General features: G+C 37.8%; 1 protein-coding gene across 5 annotated transcripts in view; it reads right to left on the bottom strand.

Moving 5' to 3' along the window:
- SATB2 (SATB homeobox 2) overlaps positions 1–16,862 on the bottom strand; it is a 201,767-nt gene that overhangs the window by 76,628 nt on the left and 108,277 nt on the right. For all 5 annotated transcript variants that reach the window (NM_001172517.1, XM_005246396.4, XM_047443775.1 and 2 more), the window contains one exon: positions 2,574–3,046. In NM_001172517.1, coding sequence (NP_001165988.1) covers positions 2,574–3,046 — 473 coding nt within the window. The remainder of the gene's footprint in view (positions 1–2,573; positions 3,047–16,862) is intronic.

Below are 16,862 nucleotides of genomic sequence, written 5' to 3' on the forward strand. Positions count from 1 at the left end.
AAAAACTTATTTTTCTTTTTTTCTTTTTCTTTTTTTTTTTTGAGACAGAGTCTCGCTCTGTTGCCAGGCTGGAGTGCAGTGGCGCAATCTCGGCTCACTGCACCCTCCACCTCCTGGGTTCAAGTGATTCTCCTACCTCAGCCTCCCAAGTAGCTGGGATTACAGGCACACGCCACCACGCCCAGCTAATTTTTGTATTTTTAGTGGAGACGAGGTTTCACCATGTTGGCCAGGATGGTCTCGATCTCTTGACCTCGTGATCTGCCACCCTCAGCCTCCCAAAGTGCAGGGATTATAGGCGTGAGCCACCGCACCCAGCACAAAAACTCATTTTTCAATGACTCATTAATCATACGACAATTTCAAAACTAATAAAAATTTAAATCGCCTACATAATAGAAATACATTTCAATTCAACCAGAGATCCAACACACTTTCGAATAAAGAGAGAAAAAATGTATTAACTGACTTAACAAAAACGCTATTTATTTAACTCACGCAGTATTGCTTAAAGAGTATCTACAAAATTCTTACCTCAATGTTTTCTTGCAAGAGACGTGGAAACCAAAAGTAAACAGACCCTCTTTAACAATGAACCACTGATAAACATAAAATATTTATAACTGGTATAACATTTCACTTAGGTGCATTTTTTGAGTGTTAACTTGCATCAGGCAATCCAATTTACCAACATTTATCAGATTTCTCCCCAGTGAGAGTTTTCACTTAACTTTTTTTTTTTTTTTTTTTTTTTTGAGATGGAGTTTCACTCTCACTCAGGCTGGAGTGCAGTGGCATGATCTCGGCTCACTGCAGCCTCCGCCTCCTGGGTTCAAGGGATTCTTCTGCCTCAGCCTCCTGAGTAGCTGAGACTACAGGCACGCATCACCACGCCCAGCTAATTTTTTTGTTTTGTTCTGTTTTAGTAGAGATGGTGTTTTACCATCTTGCCCAGGCTGGTCTTGAACTCCTGACCTCAAGTGATCCGCCCACCTTGGCCTCCCAAAGTGCTAGGACTACAGACATGAGCCACTGTGCCCAGCCCCTTAACTTCTGAAGTAATCATTAAATTTGGAAACATTCCTGTATTTTCCAAATTATTGAGGTTTCAATCCAGCATGCTTTCTTTCATTTGTAAGGTCCATCTACAGCGTGTGTTATCATGTGTCTCTGAACAGGTATCAGATAAATGAAAGCATTCCTACATTCTGTACGTTCACAGGGTTTTTCTCAGAAATCAGTTGTTTTATGTCTTCAAATTATTCCTGCATTTTTTAACTCAACATCTTTCCTATGAATGTCTTTACCTTAAAATAATAATCTTCTTCTTCATCATCTTTGCCTGCTGTACTTTATTAATCCTTCAAGGTCTAACCCATTGACAACCTAATACTCTAGAGTGTTGTTTACATATGTGCTTGCCCATTATCTTTTTCCTCTTTGCACCCACATAGAGCTTAGCTTCCTGCCTTGCATTTACGAGGGTGCTGAAATTTTAATCTACTGTTTTCTTGAAGGCTTACCATATTCATTCTCCTGGAAGTATTCCTCACCTCCAGCTCACCATGAACCTCCACCACAACTATTGCTTACACTCTCCAACATTACTCATAACACTTCACATTTTACTCTAATTATCTGGTTACCTGGTTTTCACCACTAGATCGTTAGCTCCCCGAGATTATGCACATCTGCTTTGTTCTTACTCATATAAGGGCTAGGTAAGTTTTTCTCAACATGCGGCCCCGGATCAGTACCATCATAATCACCTGGGATCTTGTTAGAAATGTCCATTTCTGAGTCCAACCTCAGACTTACTCAATCAGAAACTATGGGATGAGGCCCAGCAGTCTGTGTTTCACAGCCCTCCAGGTGATTCTGATGCACACTCCAGTTTAAGAACTACTAGCAGAAAAGAATGTCTTACATATAAGCACCCTCAATAAAAATAAGACGTGTGAATTAACTGTTTACATTTTCAACATTTAGTGTTATAATTGGCATATAATTCTCTCAAACATTAAAAATAAAAGTAAACTATCCATTATCATTTTATCAATATCTTAAATCTAACTTTTATGTTTTGAAGGATTTTTATAAATTTTTAAATAAAACTTTACTTATAAAATTATAAAACATAATTTTATTTCTTTTATAACGTTCAAAACCAAGGGAAAAAAATAGATTGTCTGGGCATGCATAGTTTTATAATTTGTTTTAAAAAATGGCAAGAGACTGATAATCACAAAATTCAAGATCAGGGTTACATCTGCAAACAGTAAATGGAGAGGATGAGAGAGTACATACCCAAGTCATTAGTAACATTTGGGGTCCTGAGTTGCATGTTGGGTTCAAAGATGTCCATTACCTCATCAAAATTAATCAATTAGTTAATTAATCATGGTCATGCATGGATCAATGGTAATAGCGTTTCATTAACTAAGGATTATTAATTAATCTAATTCTATGTCCTGAGATCCATAAAGCTTTTTAAAGAGATAAAAATAATTATAACCTATCTCAATTCTGTCCCCAGTATTACTGTTAATTACAGTGTTTAATGCTAATTGTACCTGTGTGCGGTTGAATGCCACTCTTGCAAAGACAGCTTGGGACACACTGGCCCTCTTCAGCTCATCTCTGACTTGCTGGTAGATATCTGGAGAGACTTCCACGGAAGAGTTGGTTGGCTCTGGCTTAACTGCTCTGGGGATGGGTGGATGGTTCAGGAACTGCTGGTTGATGGCTTGAGGATGCTGGTGAGCCAGGAGCCGGCTAACGGCAATCTGTTGGTTTATCAGATGGGCCATGGCTATTTGTTGCCTTACAAGTTGTGGACTAAGCTGGGGAGAAAGAAGACCAGGGCTCATGATGGGCTGTAATGCGGGCACTTGGTTTCGGATTGGAGTACTGTGGTGAATTTGGCTGTGAGGAGACTGTTCGTTGGTTTTCCCCAGGGATGCCAGCTGGTTCATATTTGGTAAATGCATTGGACGCTGGCCCAGAACACAATAGTCTGAAAGGTTTTCTCGTTCCACTCTTTCCACTGTTAAGAGATAAAAGTGATAATTAATCATTATTTTCATTGGTACAATTTATTGCTAATATATGTAGAACTGAATTATCATACTTTTGGCATGTTAATAATATAAACATTTTTTCATACAACGATGGAAGCTCCAGCATAAAAGTGATATTCTTTTCTGCTAAATGTTACAATAGATTTTTTTCATGGAACATATGAAAGAAAGTAAAATTATTTGCCACTTCAATTAGTTAAAATTCTTAAAAGTAAGCATTTCTTTAAATAGCCAAGACAGAAACCACTGACCATTCTAAATCCTCTTAGATCCCCCAAGCTCTATCATCTCCCCAATCAACCTTTGTTATAAAAGCACCAGCTGTTCCTATCTTCTGTAGTATGTAGTTAATGGTTATCAGGAAATGACAAGGATAACATCTCCTGCCAAATTAAGTGCTACCTTCTAGTAAAAAGCTCACATAAATATTATTATACAGCTATGGAAATGTTCATTTAAAAATGTCTGCCACATAGTATATCCATTTATTGACTCACTTGCTATCTTTTTTATAGAAATGTTTCTTTAAGAAATTGATATTTTAAACATTGTGCTATGCACTCAGATAAGAAAAAAAATCACAAAATTAATAACATCACCTCAACTTGCCATTAAATGAAGTTCTCCTCAGGTTATCTGCTTTATTACATTATATTGTGCTTTAATAAAGATTAAAAGAATAACTTTGAAAGGGAAAAGTAAGTATCATATATATACAAGCATAAGGCAAGTATTTTTCTTTCCCTAAAATAATGTCTTAGGAAAGACAGTCACCTCATAGCCAAATCCTTATCCAAGTCTCTGTATTACTCTATCATGAAAAACAAAGTTTGGTTTGGAGAAAAGAAATGGGGCTGAAGCAATCCCAACATTATTAGTTTTAAATGCTTATAGGTGTAATATAATCTAACAAGATCTCTTTTTCAAAGCAAAAAATCCATACAAATTTAGAAATTATTTCTTATAATTGCAAATGCTGGATATGACTATGCAAAAGTCCATTAAAGATAACTTTAAGAAGCTAGAGATCAAACATATTCACCTATAGAACACATATAAAAAGTAACTGTCTCCCTATTATACAAATGGAATGTGTGGTTTGCCATATAGTTAACCGTGACAGAATCATGGTTTTATAAAAAAAAAAAAAATACTGAGTCTCAAAAAATTTAGGCAGAAATGATGTGTGCTGGACAACTGGGTGAGATGACTGAAAACAGGGGAGTTGGTGATGACAGACACTGATGCCAAATCACATGTGAAGCACTGAATAAAGTCAATGAACTGTATGGGTGGAAAAAAGTAGTATTTCTAAATTAATACTTCATGTAATATGTGACTTTAAAAATGTATATGTGGAAATAAATTAATACATTAAAATGTGGGTAGATATTTAACTATTTTATATCCATGTCTACAAGTTTTATGCATGCAAAATATCCCATTAGGAAAACATGTGAACACCCGTCTTGGTATCACCTTATATTTAGACATGTACAGTGCTTTTTCCTGCTTTTTAAAGAAACTCAGTTAAGCTGGGCATGGTGGCTCACACCTGTAATCCCAGCACTTTGGGAGGCCGAGGCTGGTGGATCACCTGAGGTCAGGAGTTTGATACCAGCCTGGCCAACACAGCAAAACCCCGTCTCTACTTAAAATACAAAAATTAGCCAGGCATGGTGGCATGCGCCTGTAATCCCAGATATTCGGGACGCTGAATCAGGAGAATCGCTTGAACCCCAGGAGGCAGAGGCAAAGGTTGCAGTGAGTAGAAATCACACCACTGCACTCCAGCCTGAGTGACGAGCGAGACTCTGTCTCCAAAAAAAAAAAAAAAAAAAGAAAACCCGATTTCTTGCTTAACATTCCTATAAACTTCCAAATAAGTCAAGAGTTTACTTCCAACTTCTTTTAGGGCTCAATTTCTAACTTAATCCTTACAATGTTTGCTTGCTTTTTTTTTTTTTTTTTAAGACAGAGTTTCACTCTTGTTGCCCAGGCTATAGTGCAATGGCGCAATCTCAGCTCACTGCAGCCTCTGCCTCTCGGGTTCAAGTGATTCTCCTGTCTCAGCCTCCCAAGTAACTGGGATTACTGGCATGCACCACCATGCCCAGCTAATTTTTTGTATTTTCAGTAGAGACGGGGTTTCGCCATGTTGGCCAGGCTAGTCTCAAACTTCTGGCCTCATGTGATCCACCAGCCTCAGCCTCACCAGCCATTGCACCCAGCCTAATCCTTATAGTGTAATTCATTTGTTTTACGTATCACCTTTCCTTCATAAGGTTAAGAAAACAAATTATTTTACTCATCTTCTAAAGGCAAACCTTTTTCAATTATTGTATTAATTAAACTTTAAAGTACATAGTCTTAAAATCAAACCAAGCAAATGGTTAGGAGCCTTCAGATAACATAATCTAACAGTTTCCATAGAACAGGAATTAACATCATAATTTCCTCACTGAAAAAAAAGGTAAAGAGACCATGAACTGATTCCACAGTAAAATCTTATTTTATAGACAGAAATATTTGGTTTCAGTTAAATATTTGATTCACTTTTGCTTGTTTATTTGCTTTTAATTCAGTCAAAGTAAAGATAAATTCAGATATTAAATTATGTTTTCAGGTTCTTAATAAGGAAATATTTTATCTATTTCATTTTTTGGTGGGGGGAGGGGCTTGAGACCGAGTCTCACTCTGTTACCCAAGATGGAGTGAAGTGGTGTGATCTCCATTCACTGCAACCTCTGCCTCCCGGGTTCAAGCTATTCTCGTGCTCAGCCTTCCGAGTAACTGGGATTACAGGCATATGCCGCCACCACACCCAACTAATTTTTGTATTTTTAGTAGAGACGGGGTTTCACCCATCTTGGCCAGGCTGGTCTCAAACTCCTGACCTCAGGTGATCCACCTGCCCTGGCTTCCCAAAGTGCTGGGATTACAGGCGTGAGCCACTGTACCTGGCCATCTATTTCATTTTCTACTGAAAAAACATAGAACCATCCTCCTATAGAATGCATTATTTGACCAAACATTAATTTTCCAAAATTTTGGTATTTTCATTTTTCAACAATTTAATTACATTTGAGTGACTTTATTTTCTTGAGATATATCTAAATCATATAATTTAAAAATACCTCATTCATAGACCTAGTCAAAATCATGTACACAATTAAGCATAAACATCAAAGCTCCATGAAACCTATATGAATTGGTGCAGTAAGAGTCTGAATAATGTCAGTCCATATTCTTTAAGGTTATATATAATCATTCTTTCTATCCTTATGAGTTTCCAGGTGGATCCTTATAAATTCTTGTAGTTAAGAAGAGCAACTATGGAAGTATCTTGTAAAGACATAGCAACATATTACATCCGTAGTAACACCATGAAGTACTAACTACTCAGTAAACATTAATGAAGACATTGCAAACACAAATACCTACCTGTTCAGGTAGATAACAGCCAGAAAAGCCAGCTGCAGAAGAACTAGGTGGAGGAGGGAAAGTCTAACCAGTACAAAGGTAGCAACCACTACCTAACCTCAGCCAGTTTCTGTCTTTCTTATATTGTCATTTCTTTAGATTTTTTTTTGAAAAACAAAAAATCTGGATTTTACATGATATTCCTAATTTTTAAGTGTTAGCAACTAATGCCATTTCAAAATACAATAAAAGCCAAACAAAACATTTCTGAAAACCAGATCTGCCCATAGGCTACCAGTTTTAAAATTCTGCCTCTGAGACTAGTCACCCTTTATGTTTTTCAGCTCCTAACAGTTCTACCAGTAAAAGCCAAGTTCTTTACTACCAAGAATGAAAAAAGAAAAAAAATTATCATCCCGACTTTAAGAATGACTAAGGATCAAATGCTGTCAAAAGGATGCATCTACAATGACCAAGGCAGAACACGATTTCAGAAACCATTTACACACGTTTTTGTCTTTTTTTTTTTTTTTTTTTTTTTTGAGACAGAGCCTCACTCCATCACCCAGGCTGGAGTGCAGTGGCACAATCTCAGCTCACTGCAACCTCCACCTCCCAGGTTCAAGTGATTCTCATGCCTCAGCCTCCTGAGTAGCTGGGATTACAAGCATGTGCCACGGTGCCCAGCTAATTTTTATATTTTTAGTAGAAACGGGGTTTCACCACGTTGCCCAGGTTGGTCTCCAACTCCTGACATCAAGTGATCCACCCGCCTCGGCCTCCCAAATTGCTAGGATTACAGGCATGAGCCACCATGCCTGGCTGATTTTACCTAAATTGAAAACATTTTAATTTAGTTCTTGCTGCCACTCTCATAAAAATAATATCAGAATAACGTTTTTAGCCTCTTAAGTCACAGCAAGTGAAGCACAGATGCTTAAAAAAGAGAGGGAGTATCAGGATGTGCCAGACTGTATCAGAAAATTGAGCCTGAGCGTTCTTTCTTTTTCTCTTTCTTTCTTTCCTCTCTCCCTTCCTTCCTGCTTTCCTGCTTTTCTCTTTCTCTTCTTCCCTTTACTCCCTCCTTCCCTTCTCTCCCTTCCTTTCCCTTCTTTCTTTTAAAATAATTTGAAAGTAATCACAATGTCTGAAACACAGACCTAACAGCAGTGCCTGGTTTTGTGTTCTTGCTTTTTTCACTGTGTAATGGAAAACATCATGTTAAGTCTGTCTTAAACTAAACCAAGACCAAAGACATCACCTTGGCCCTAAGGGCCATCTTATCCCTGCAGTATTTAGCAGAAGATCAGAAATCCTGGAAAAAATGAAGGGTAAAAGGTAGTGCTGTCTCTGACGGTGAAAGCAATGTTCACATTCACAACAGAAAATATTCTGATAAAGGCAACACGCTTACTTATTAAAGAGACAGTAAAAACACAACTGCTGGCCCGGCATGTTGGCTCATGCCTGCAATCCCAGCACTTTGGAAGGCCAAGGAGGGCGGATCACTTGAGATCAGGAGTTCGAGACCAGCCTGACCAACATGATGAAACCTGGTCTCTACTAAAATACAAAATTAGCCAGGTGTGGTGGCTCATGCCTGTAATCCCAACTACTTAGGAGGCTGAGGCAGGAGAATCACTTGAATCCAGGAGGCAGAGGTTGCAGTGAGTCGAGATTGTGCCACTGCACTCCAGCCTGGGTGACAGAGTGAGATTCTGTCTCAAAAATAAATAAATAAATAAATAACTCACAACTGCTCCCAGGGCTTTAAATCAGAGCTGCAATTTAATTCACAGTGAACTTGATTCTACTGTGGCTGAAGCCTTGAGGGTGAGCACTGGAGAGGGAATTGCCTGGAAAGGAATGATGTCCCCAGTTTCTAATGTAAGTCCCCAAACAGAACATGGTTTAAGAAACCGTCAAGGCAAGGGAGGCTCAAATGCTTCTACGTCCAGTAGCTGTGAGACTTTTGGTAGCTATTCCAACATCTGGGGAAAGGTACCAGTCCAGGGACCTTCCAGATAAACAGTTCAGATATGGAGTCTGTTCAGGTCTCTGAGAAACCCAGAGTTCTAAGAGGATCTTGCAGATTCCTTCAAGTTTCCTGGGACTGAGTGAAAACTGCAGGGAATGGGCAGCCATTTTCCAACCACCCTCTAAACTTCTGGGATTCCATTTAACTCTAAAGTAGGTAGGGCCTTTGTAGCCCTATATTAGAATTTCAGTAACTCCTAAAACCTCACCAAGTTCACAGCGACAATGCTCTAACCAAGAGCACTCTATGACCATTAGCTATTCAGATGCTCACAATTGCTGCCTGTGGCTGGTTATTCATAGATGAGAAACTTATATTCCTCCCTCAGGAATTTACCTGCATTACAATTAAAAGGTATTTGGTCCAAAAATCTTATTTAAGACACTTGTTACGGTACATCCAGGAAGCCAGGTATTTATTTTAAATAACATAAATCCCTGATATATATTTATATATTTTAGGTTGTTACAAGAACATTTTCAAAACTCAAAAAATAAAATAATACACACACACACACATATACACACTATATATGTATATATATATAGTGTGTATATATGTGTATATATACAAGGATGTGTGTATATATGTGTATATATACAAGGATGTGTGTATATATGTGTATATATACAAGGATGTATGTATATACATATGTATGTGTGTGTGTGTGTGTGTGTATCTATATATATATATATATATATATATATAGTCTTTCACTCCTATATTCTGGCACTTAATTTTTATTATTTCTTTTGCAATTATGTAAAGTAAATATAATAAAATCTCAATGCTCAAAATATAATCCAATGACTTAGTGCCCCAAAGTATAGTTTCTGAAGGTTTTTGAGCAAAAGGTGAAGCACCTGATTGGCACAGATGCCTGCCAATAATAGCAAGGTGGCATAGGAAAGGTAGAAAGAAAAGCAAACTGAAATTTCAAAGGCCTGGGTTATAACTAGATGAGTGATCTGAGGATTATCTGTAAAATGGGAAGAATTACCTGTAAAGTGGTCTTAAAGTAACCTTCCAGGTTACTTATCTAAGAGCATCTTTAAAAGTACCGTTTTAAAACAATTATCTTTCTCAGAATACTTGCTTCTGCTCTTTACTCTTTAGCAGGAATTTAAGACTTTCCTTAGATATCTCTATTAAACTCACCATTACAAGAAAAATAGTTGTTTATATAGTGGCAATAGCAATATTAATTACAGTATTGCTCTTGCAAGTTTATCAATACTGCAAAAAAGATAGATAATATTTCTAAAGCTATTATTGTAGTATTTTCACGCTGTAAACCTTAACACAGTTGCTTTTGTGAAACAGCCCCTTGGGTTTGTCCATAGTTATAATGGGTAGAAAGCAATGAATTGGGTAAAAGGTTTTGCACTGAGAAATTTCCAGAATCTCTGGCCTATGGATTTTTCTTTAAGCCATTAAGATGCTTATGCAAATGTAAATGGATTAGCATGAATGAGTGCTAATGGATTCCTTAATAAGATAACACTCTAGTATTCCCCAGAACCTCTCCTAGAAACCCTGGGTAGAAGAACATAAGCCAAAAAAAAAAAAAAAAAAAAAAGAAAGAAAGAAAAGACGACGGCAGAATTTCTCTACGATTCTTTCAACCTTAGAAAGTACTCTGGAAGTGATTCTACAAATGTAAAAAAGGACACTGGCTTGCTTTTGGCACTCTTAGTAAAAATGTTGCCAATCAAACCAACAATTTCAAATTGGTACCCAAACATTAGAGCACAGAAAAAAGATACTCGAGCATATGAATGCCTTAAATTTACAAACCTCCTCTCCAGGTTCTCTGCTTCCCCACCTTATGCTCTAAAACCTTGAAGCCCAGTTTTTAAAGACAACGATCTTGTCTAATACCAGAGAAATTTAAAAAATGTGCTCTAGGTCGAATAACTGTCCAAATGCAGATAAATATTTAGGAATATTCAAAATGATTAAGGCTGCTGGCTCTCGCCTCGTAATAAGAAACACAAACCACATGGCTACTTTTTCCTCTTTTTGTGAATAACTCAAAGTCAAGTTCTAAAGCCTAAATGTTTCACAAGTGCTTTTTAATGGATTTTCTTTAGAAAAAATATATTTATTATAAGAATTTTCATATTTTTACTACTAACATACCTTTTTCAAACTGTATTGGCATTTCAGGTAACACCAAGCCCCACCATTTATATAGTAGCTGAAGCACTGAGCTAAATCCCTGACACATCATTATCGTTTAACTCTCACAACAATTCTATGACATTGATATTAAGATGCCTACTTTATTAAAGAAGCTGAAGCTCAGTTGGCTTCTTTAATGTCATTATTTGACTTTAATGTCATAATTGTTTGATGTTACAAACCTGTTAATGGAAGATTCTGAATTCAAACCTATGCCTTTAGGACCCTGCAGTCTGTATTCCGCTGCTTAAGATGAACTGCCCAGTTTGGGGCATGTGGTTATTAATAGCTTTAGGATTTGGGTCAGGAGCAATCAACTTTCTTACCGATAAGTTTCACTTTGTATTTGCATGTTTGTGTGCACAAGTGCACGTGGCACACGTATGTGACAGGAAGGATGGATAAGTCATCTGAATGGTAAAAGCTCAACCTCAGCCTTCACTGTATGCTTTGTGTAACATACACTGAAAAGACTGTCAATTCAAAAAGTGATGAAATCATTGATTCCTCAACAGTTGAATCAGCTAGTCACTTAAATAGAATTATTTACATTAAAATTCATATAATAAACATTTATTAATCAACTATCATGTGCCAGGAATAATGGCAGCCCCTAGAGATACAGTACTGAATAATCTTAACTTTAAAAAACTCCATCAATATATTTGCTTCAGACACTTTAACTGTCTGCCACATGTAGATGGGTCCATAACATCTGCCTATGATTTAAAGTGCATTTCTATTTGATGATAAAAGATAGCTCCTTTAAATTCCTATTTTGTCAGTTTATTAGCAATTCATTCCAGTCATCTGTAAGATATATATATGTGCCTATATAATCAGTATATAAATATAGTGATTATATTTATTTTTATAAATCCCCTCCCATTATCTTATTTTTCTTGAGGCCAAAGCTTTTGTCCCAAAATGAGTGTCATCAGCATGGACTCCCACCTGACTGATGAAAGATATGAATCACACAGCAGAGAGCTTTCTCAGGTACCCTATAAATTCTATAAATAGAAATTATTTCTTTGAAACAAGTAACCAACAAGAAATGAAACTGGGTATGCACACTCACATAATATAACAGCTTGAGAATCTTGGGCAATCACAAATTCACATATAATTGAACTATATGAAATTGGCGATACGTAACAATTTTGACCTACAAAAATGGCAATTCCATATGCTTCCACCTGATACTTATTTTGTCTCCTTTCACTCAGCTGGGCTACACATTAATGGTCAACAACCCCACTGTCCACCCAAACTCTTTCATTGGGTTAAAATCTTTTTAAAAGGTAAACATAATGCTAATTTCCCCCAACAAACCAGAATAGCATCCCGTCTGCCAACACTGAATATGCCTAGTCACTGAAAATACTTCTGGTTTATTCTCTCCTAGTCAATAACTGGAGGTATAAGGTCAATTTATTATACAAAAAAAAATTCTGTTAATACAAACACAGATGGACATGATTGCAGTAGCCAAAGCTAATAGATCTCTCAGATATAAATCCCATACCATTAAAACGAACAAATAAAACTACCAGATGAGTTCACCAAATATAATTTAAAAAAATTATTGAGCTTGAAAGAGCTGAAGAGTAAAAGAAAGAAAAAAGAAAAAACAAAAAACTTGCCACCAAACCCAAAGATTTTGTTTTTCTCTAAATTTGTTCAAGAGAATTTGTCTCTGGGTTGAGAACTTGCTTGCAAAGTCCCTGCCTAGAGCAAGATATTCAGAGCCAACTTGTTAACTCCTAATAAAACAGCCCATAAGCAAAGCCTACCAGCCAGCATTGTGATAATACCATATGACTGGTTTTCTTAGGTGTATTTTCCCCTTATTATCAACTTCCTTTTTCCATCATATTAACCTCCACAGAAACATATATCCACCATAAAGTAACTCAAATGTGGACACCTCTGTTTCTTTGCTAATAAAAGCTCCTAGGACCCATTATGTTCCATGGAAAAAGTGAGCATTATCTACCTTTCTTAGTCTCCACCCTCTGTACCAGAACACTATTGTCCCTTTTGGTTTCAAACAATGCTTTATCACAGTTTGATATCATTGATCATTTCAAGTATTCCTATAACATTCTACATAGGTTAAAACTGCTTATATCTAATAATATCTTCATTTTTATTCTTTATTTTAATCTAAAACTATAATTTCTAAGGTGAATTCAGCACATGATAGTAAAAAAAGATCATATTGTTGAAACTTAACATTACTGCTTAGGAAAATTCTGCCTTTGTCAGTTGGCATTCCATGTGTATTAATTCTTTAATTCAACCTACCTGAAGAAAAGTTAATCAAAGAAAACAATCAATTCATGATTCATTCTTTTCCTCTGACCAGTCTCTGTGATTTTATAGGACTTTGATGTTTTAGGCCATTATATTGAGGAAAATACTCAATAAACTAGCTGTGAAAACCTCAAAGGCATGTTTATCTTAGGCTACACAAATGTTCTCTAATTCGTACTTTATAAAGGTATTACTGTCCTATTCAACTGAATTGACTACTGTTAAGTCTTTAGCTCAATAACTAGTAGAAACATAGAATGATTCTAACCAATCACATTTGCTAAGGACATTTGCAACATGAACTAAACAAGCAAAGATTTTTCTTTCTTTTTTTTCTCTCAATTGACAGATCAGGTAGCAAATAAGATCAGTGCACCATATAATATGTGTAAAAATAAAACTGTTCTAAATGCATATATTCAAATAAGTTCATCTATATTACATTCAATTATATTAATATTTACTAAGTATTCACTGTGTTTAAGGCCTCATGCTCACAGGACTCTGGGGAGGACAGAAAATGGATATGTTCCTGTGTTCCCAAAACCTCTACCTCTGAAGTTCTTTCAAGCAGCTTTTGGCCCAGAAGGGGGATTAGTCAAAAATCAAAATTTCTATGGTACATAAAACTTAGAAAGGTGATACCCTGAAAGGCCCAATGTTAGAACTCATAGTCTGATTTGTACTCTAGATGATTATAGATTCATGTCTATTCCCTTGGGAGTTCAGAACTCCAAGGGTCAAATAATCTCAAATTCTCACAAATGGTGGAATGAAGGCCATTCATCAGTCAGGCAAATAGTTAAATAACTGTCTCCCATTAGGCAATGTGATTTCAGTCCTAGTATCTTACATAGCATTTATAGTTAAAGTGCTTCAAGCACCTTATGAGCTTAAGTGCTTTTCAGCTTTGAACCTTGTAATCGTCTAAGGAAAATTAGGTAATAATCTTTATTTAATTGATCAAGAAACCAAAAGAGTTCTCTGATTTTCACCTGCTGGTCTCCCCAGTAGAAGAGGATGTCCCCACAATCATCAGATTTTAAATAAGCTGGGCATTTCATGGTCTACACACAAAGCCTCTCATTTCACACTTCTGTAGATTCTTTGTCAGCCCCCATCACATCTATGTTTTTGAGTTTTTTTATTCTGTTTCTGGGCAGGACAAATGGAAATCTGAAACTAGGAGCAATCTAAAGCACACTCCCTCCTTGTTCCCCAGACATGGTCTGTCCAGATCCTATTTCAGGTGTTCTCACCACCAAGCCCCCATGCCAATCATTCTCTCCTTCACTGCTAGGAGGTCATGCCAGCCCAGCCTCACACTTCATGGCATGAGCTGCCCATCCTCACCGTCCACTCCATCTCTAGAACCTTCCCTCCTTACACATCTCCTTGCCCTTCTCCCAGATTCTGAAGAAAACATCACTATTACTCTTTCTTTCAAAGGCACTGCATTATCTGAGCCTCAAATCCATTCCCTCCTAGTTGGTGGGCTCTTGCTTATCACTCCTCTTCCTCTTCAAAACTGCTGGCTCCATCCTCTTTCTGATAATTACACTTAGCCCTCATGCTTCAGTTAGCCACGTTTAGACTCTTTCCTCTCATGTCCTTGCCACCCCTCCCTCAGTAGATGCATAGGCTTCCCTGTTCTCACACTTCAGAGAGACAGCTCCCTCCAATGTCATTATGGTATCCTTTCTGCCAAAGCCAAGAGCCTCCAATTCCCTCTCCTCTCCCCTGCCCCTCCACTGCACCCTTGATAACACTTCCCCCTGGTAACTCATCTTCCCTTGGCTTCAGTGACACCTCACTCTCTCTAGCTGCATCTTCTTAACTCCTGGCCCTTTTCCTCTCAAAGCTTCCAGCCCTCTCCCGCTCTTGCTCTCCTCTTTAAGGAATGTTCATTTGGTACCATTTCAATTGTCATCCAAAAAAGTGCTCAAAAATTTATTCTCCATCCTGTCCTTTAGTCGGCTGGTTTCACATGTCAAACAGCCTAATGGACATTTCTACCTAGTTGTCAAAATTCTCACTGAGGTATCAGCAATTTCGTCTCCATTGGTATTGTCTTATTTCTGTCACAACCATCAAGAGTCACTTAAGCTCAAAACCTGGATTCTGCTTGCATGTCTCTTTCTCATTCTCATACCCCTACTTACTCTCACCAAGTCTCATGGCTCTCCTCTGCTTGAACCTCTTGCATTGGTGGCTTCCTGTCTTTCTCACTTGTGCCACTCAAAGCCAGGGCCTCACTTCCCTCACCATTCCATTTCCGTCAATTACTGCAATAGGTTCGACTTTGCCTACTTCCACCAGGTGTACACACCAGCCTTCCCCCTCCCACCCACCTCCCTTCCTGCCATACACCCACTCACACCCTCATACAGCTTCAGATGGTGTCTAGGGGAATCATTCGTAAAACCTCATTTTCAATATGTCACTCTCTTGCTGAAAAACCTTCAAGGATTCTCAAAATACGTCAACTGGGCTTTCAAAGACCCCTAAGGTGTGTTCTCTACCTTCTCAGCCTTATTTTTCATTGTTACAACAAATATGATCGCCCAGCCAGGTCCCAACCATTTCTTTTTTTTTTTTTTTATGTGAGACAGAGTCACTCTGTCACTCAAGACTGGAGTGCAGTGGCGCAATCTCAGCTCACTTCGACCTCCACTTCCTGGGTTCAAGCGATTCTCCTGCCTCAGCCTCCCAAGTAGCTGGGATTACAGCTAACTTTTTGTGTTTTTAGTAAAGATGGGGTTTCATCATGTTAGCCAGGATGCTCTCAACCTCCTGACCTTGTGATCCACCCGCCTCGGCCTCCCAAAGTGCTAGGATTACAGGCGTGAGCCACCGCGCCCAGCCAGGTCCCAACCATTTCTATCAACATTTGGTGTCACTACCCTCCCTATATCCAGCTAGTTCTACCTTTGCCTTTTCACTGATCAAAAGCTTAGCCATTCTGAGCACCTGTTATATTATAGTATCAGGATAAATGTACTGCCATTCTAGACATTCTGGATAGCCACTTGTAATTTTCTAAACATGCAATGCTCTTTCGTACCTCTGCATCTGTACTGATGATCATGCGGTTGCCCAAAACATTCCTCCTTCTCTTTTCCTCCTTGCTGCAGTAACTCCACTTGTCCTTAAGGTATAATTCATGCGCTGTCTCTCCCTAACCGCCCACCCCCCACCCCACGTCAAATCTAGCAAGAAGAGTTTCCGGACTTTCCTCTATGCCACCATTACACTAGTTTATATCACTACTATATATTTACCAGATCCATTTATACAGCTGCTTCCCCTGCCAGGTTAAGGACAACACAACCAGAGGTAGGAAGTATATCTTACGTGTGTATGGACATTTCTCACTGCTTCTAGCATTAATTATGGCCTGTAGCAGAAGTGCTCACTAAACATTTAGTTAAAATTATTTACTTAATTATGACTACAATTATCTTGTGAGGAAGAAAAAGGTAATGCTCTCCACTGTATTCCCAGCCCTTAGAATCCTGCCAGGTATTATATATAAAATAGAAGCTAGAATTTGTTTTTGAATGACAAGATATGTGTTATATTATAAAGTAAGCATTTCATACAGATTGTAGGCTTTTGGAAAGCAGGAACTATGTCTTATGCTTCTTCCAAAGAGTAGGTATACATGAGGCTGGATGGATGAATAGATGCAAGAGAAGCAGGGAGGGGCGTAAGGAAATAGATCATTTTTCCCTTTGCATCCTTTCTTAATGTCTATTTAAAATAACATCAGAAATAGTACAAATATGAGTAGATTGCAAGCTCATTTCTTTTAATCT

Source organism: Homo sapiens, chromosome 2 (genome assembly GCF_000001405.40).
Source record: "Homo sapiens chromosome 2, GRCh38.p14 Primary Assembly".
In the NCBI taxonomy this organism is placed as follows: domain Eukaryota; kingdom Metazoa; phylum Chordata; class Mammalia; order Primates; family Hominidae; genus Homo; species Homo sapiens.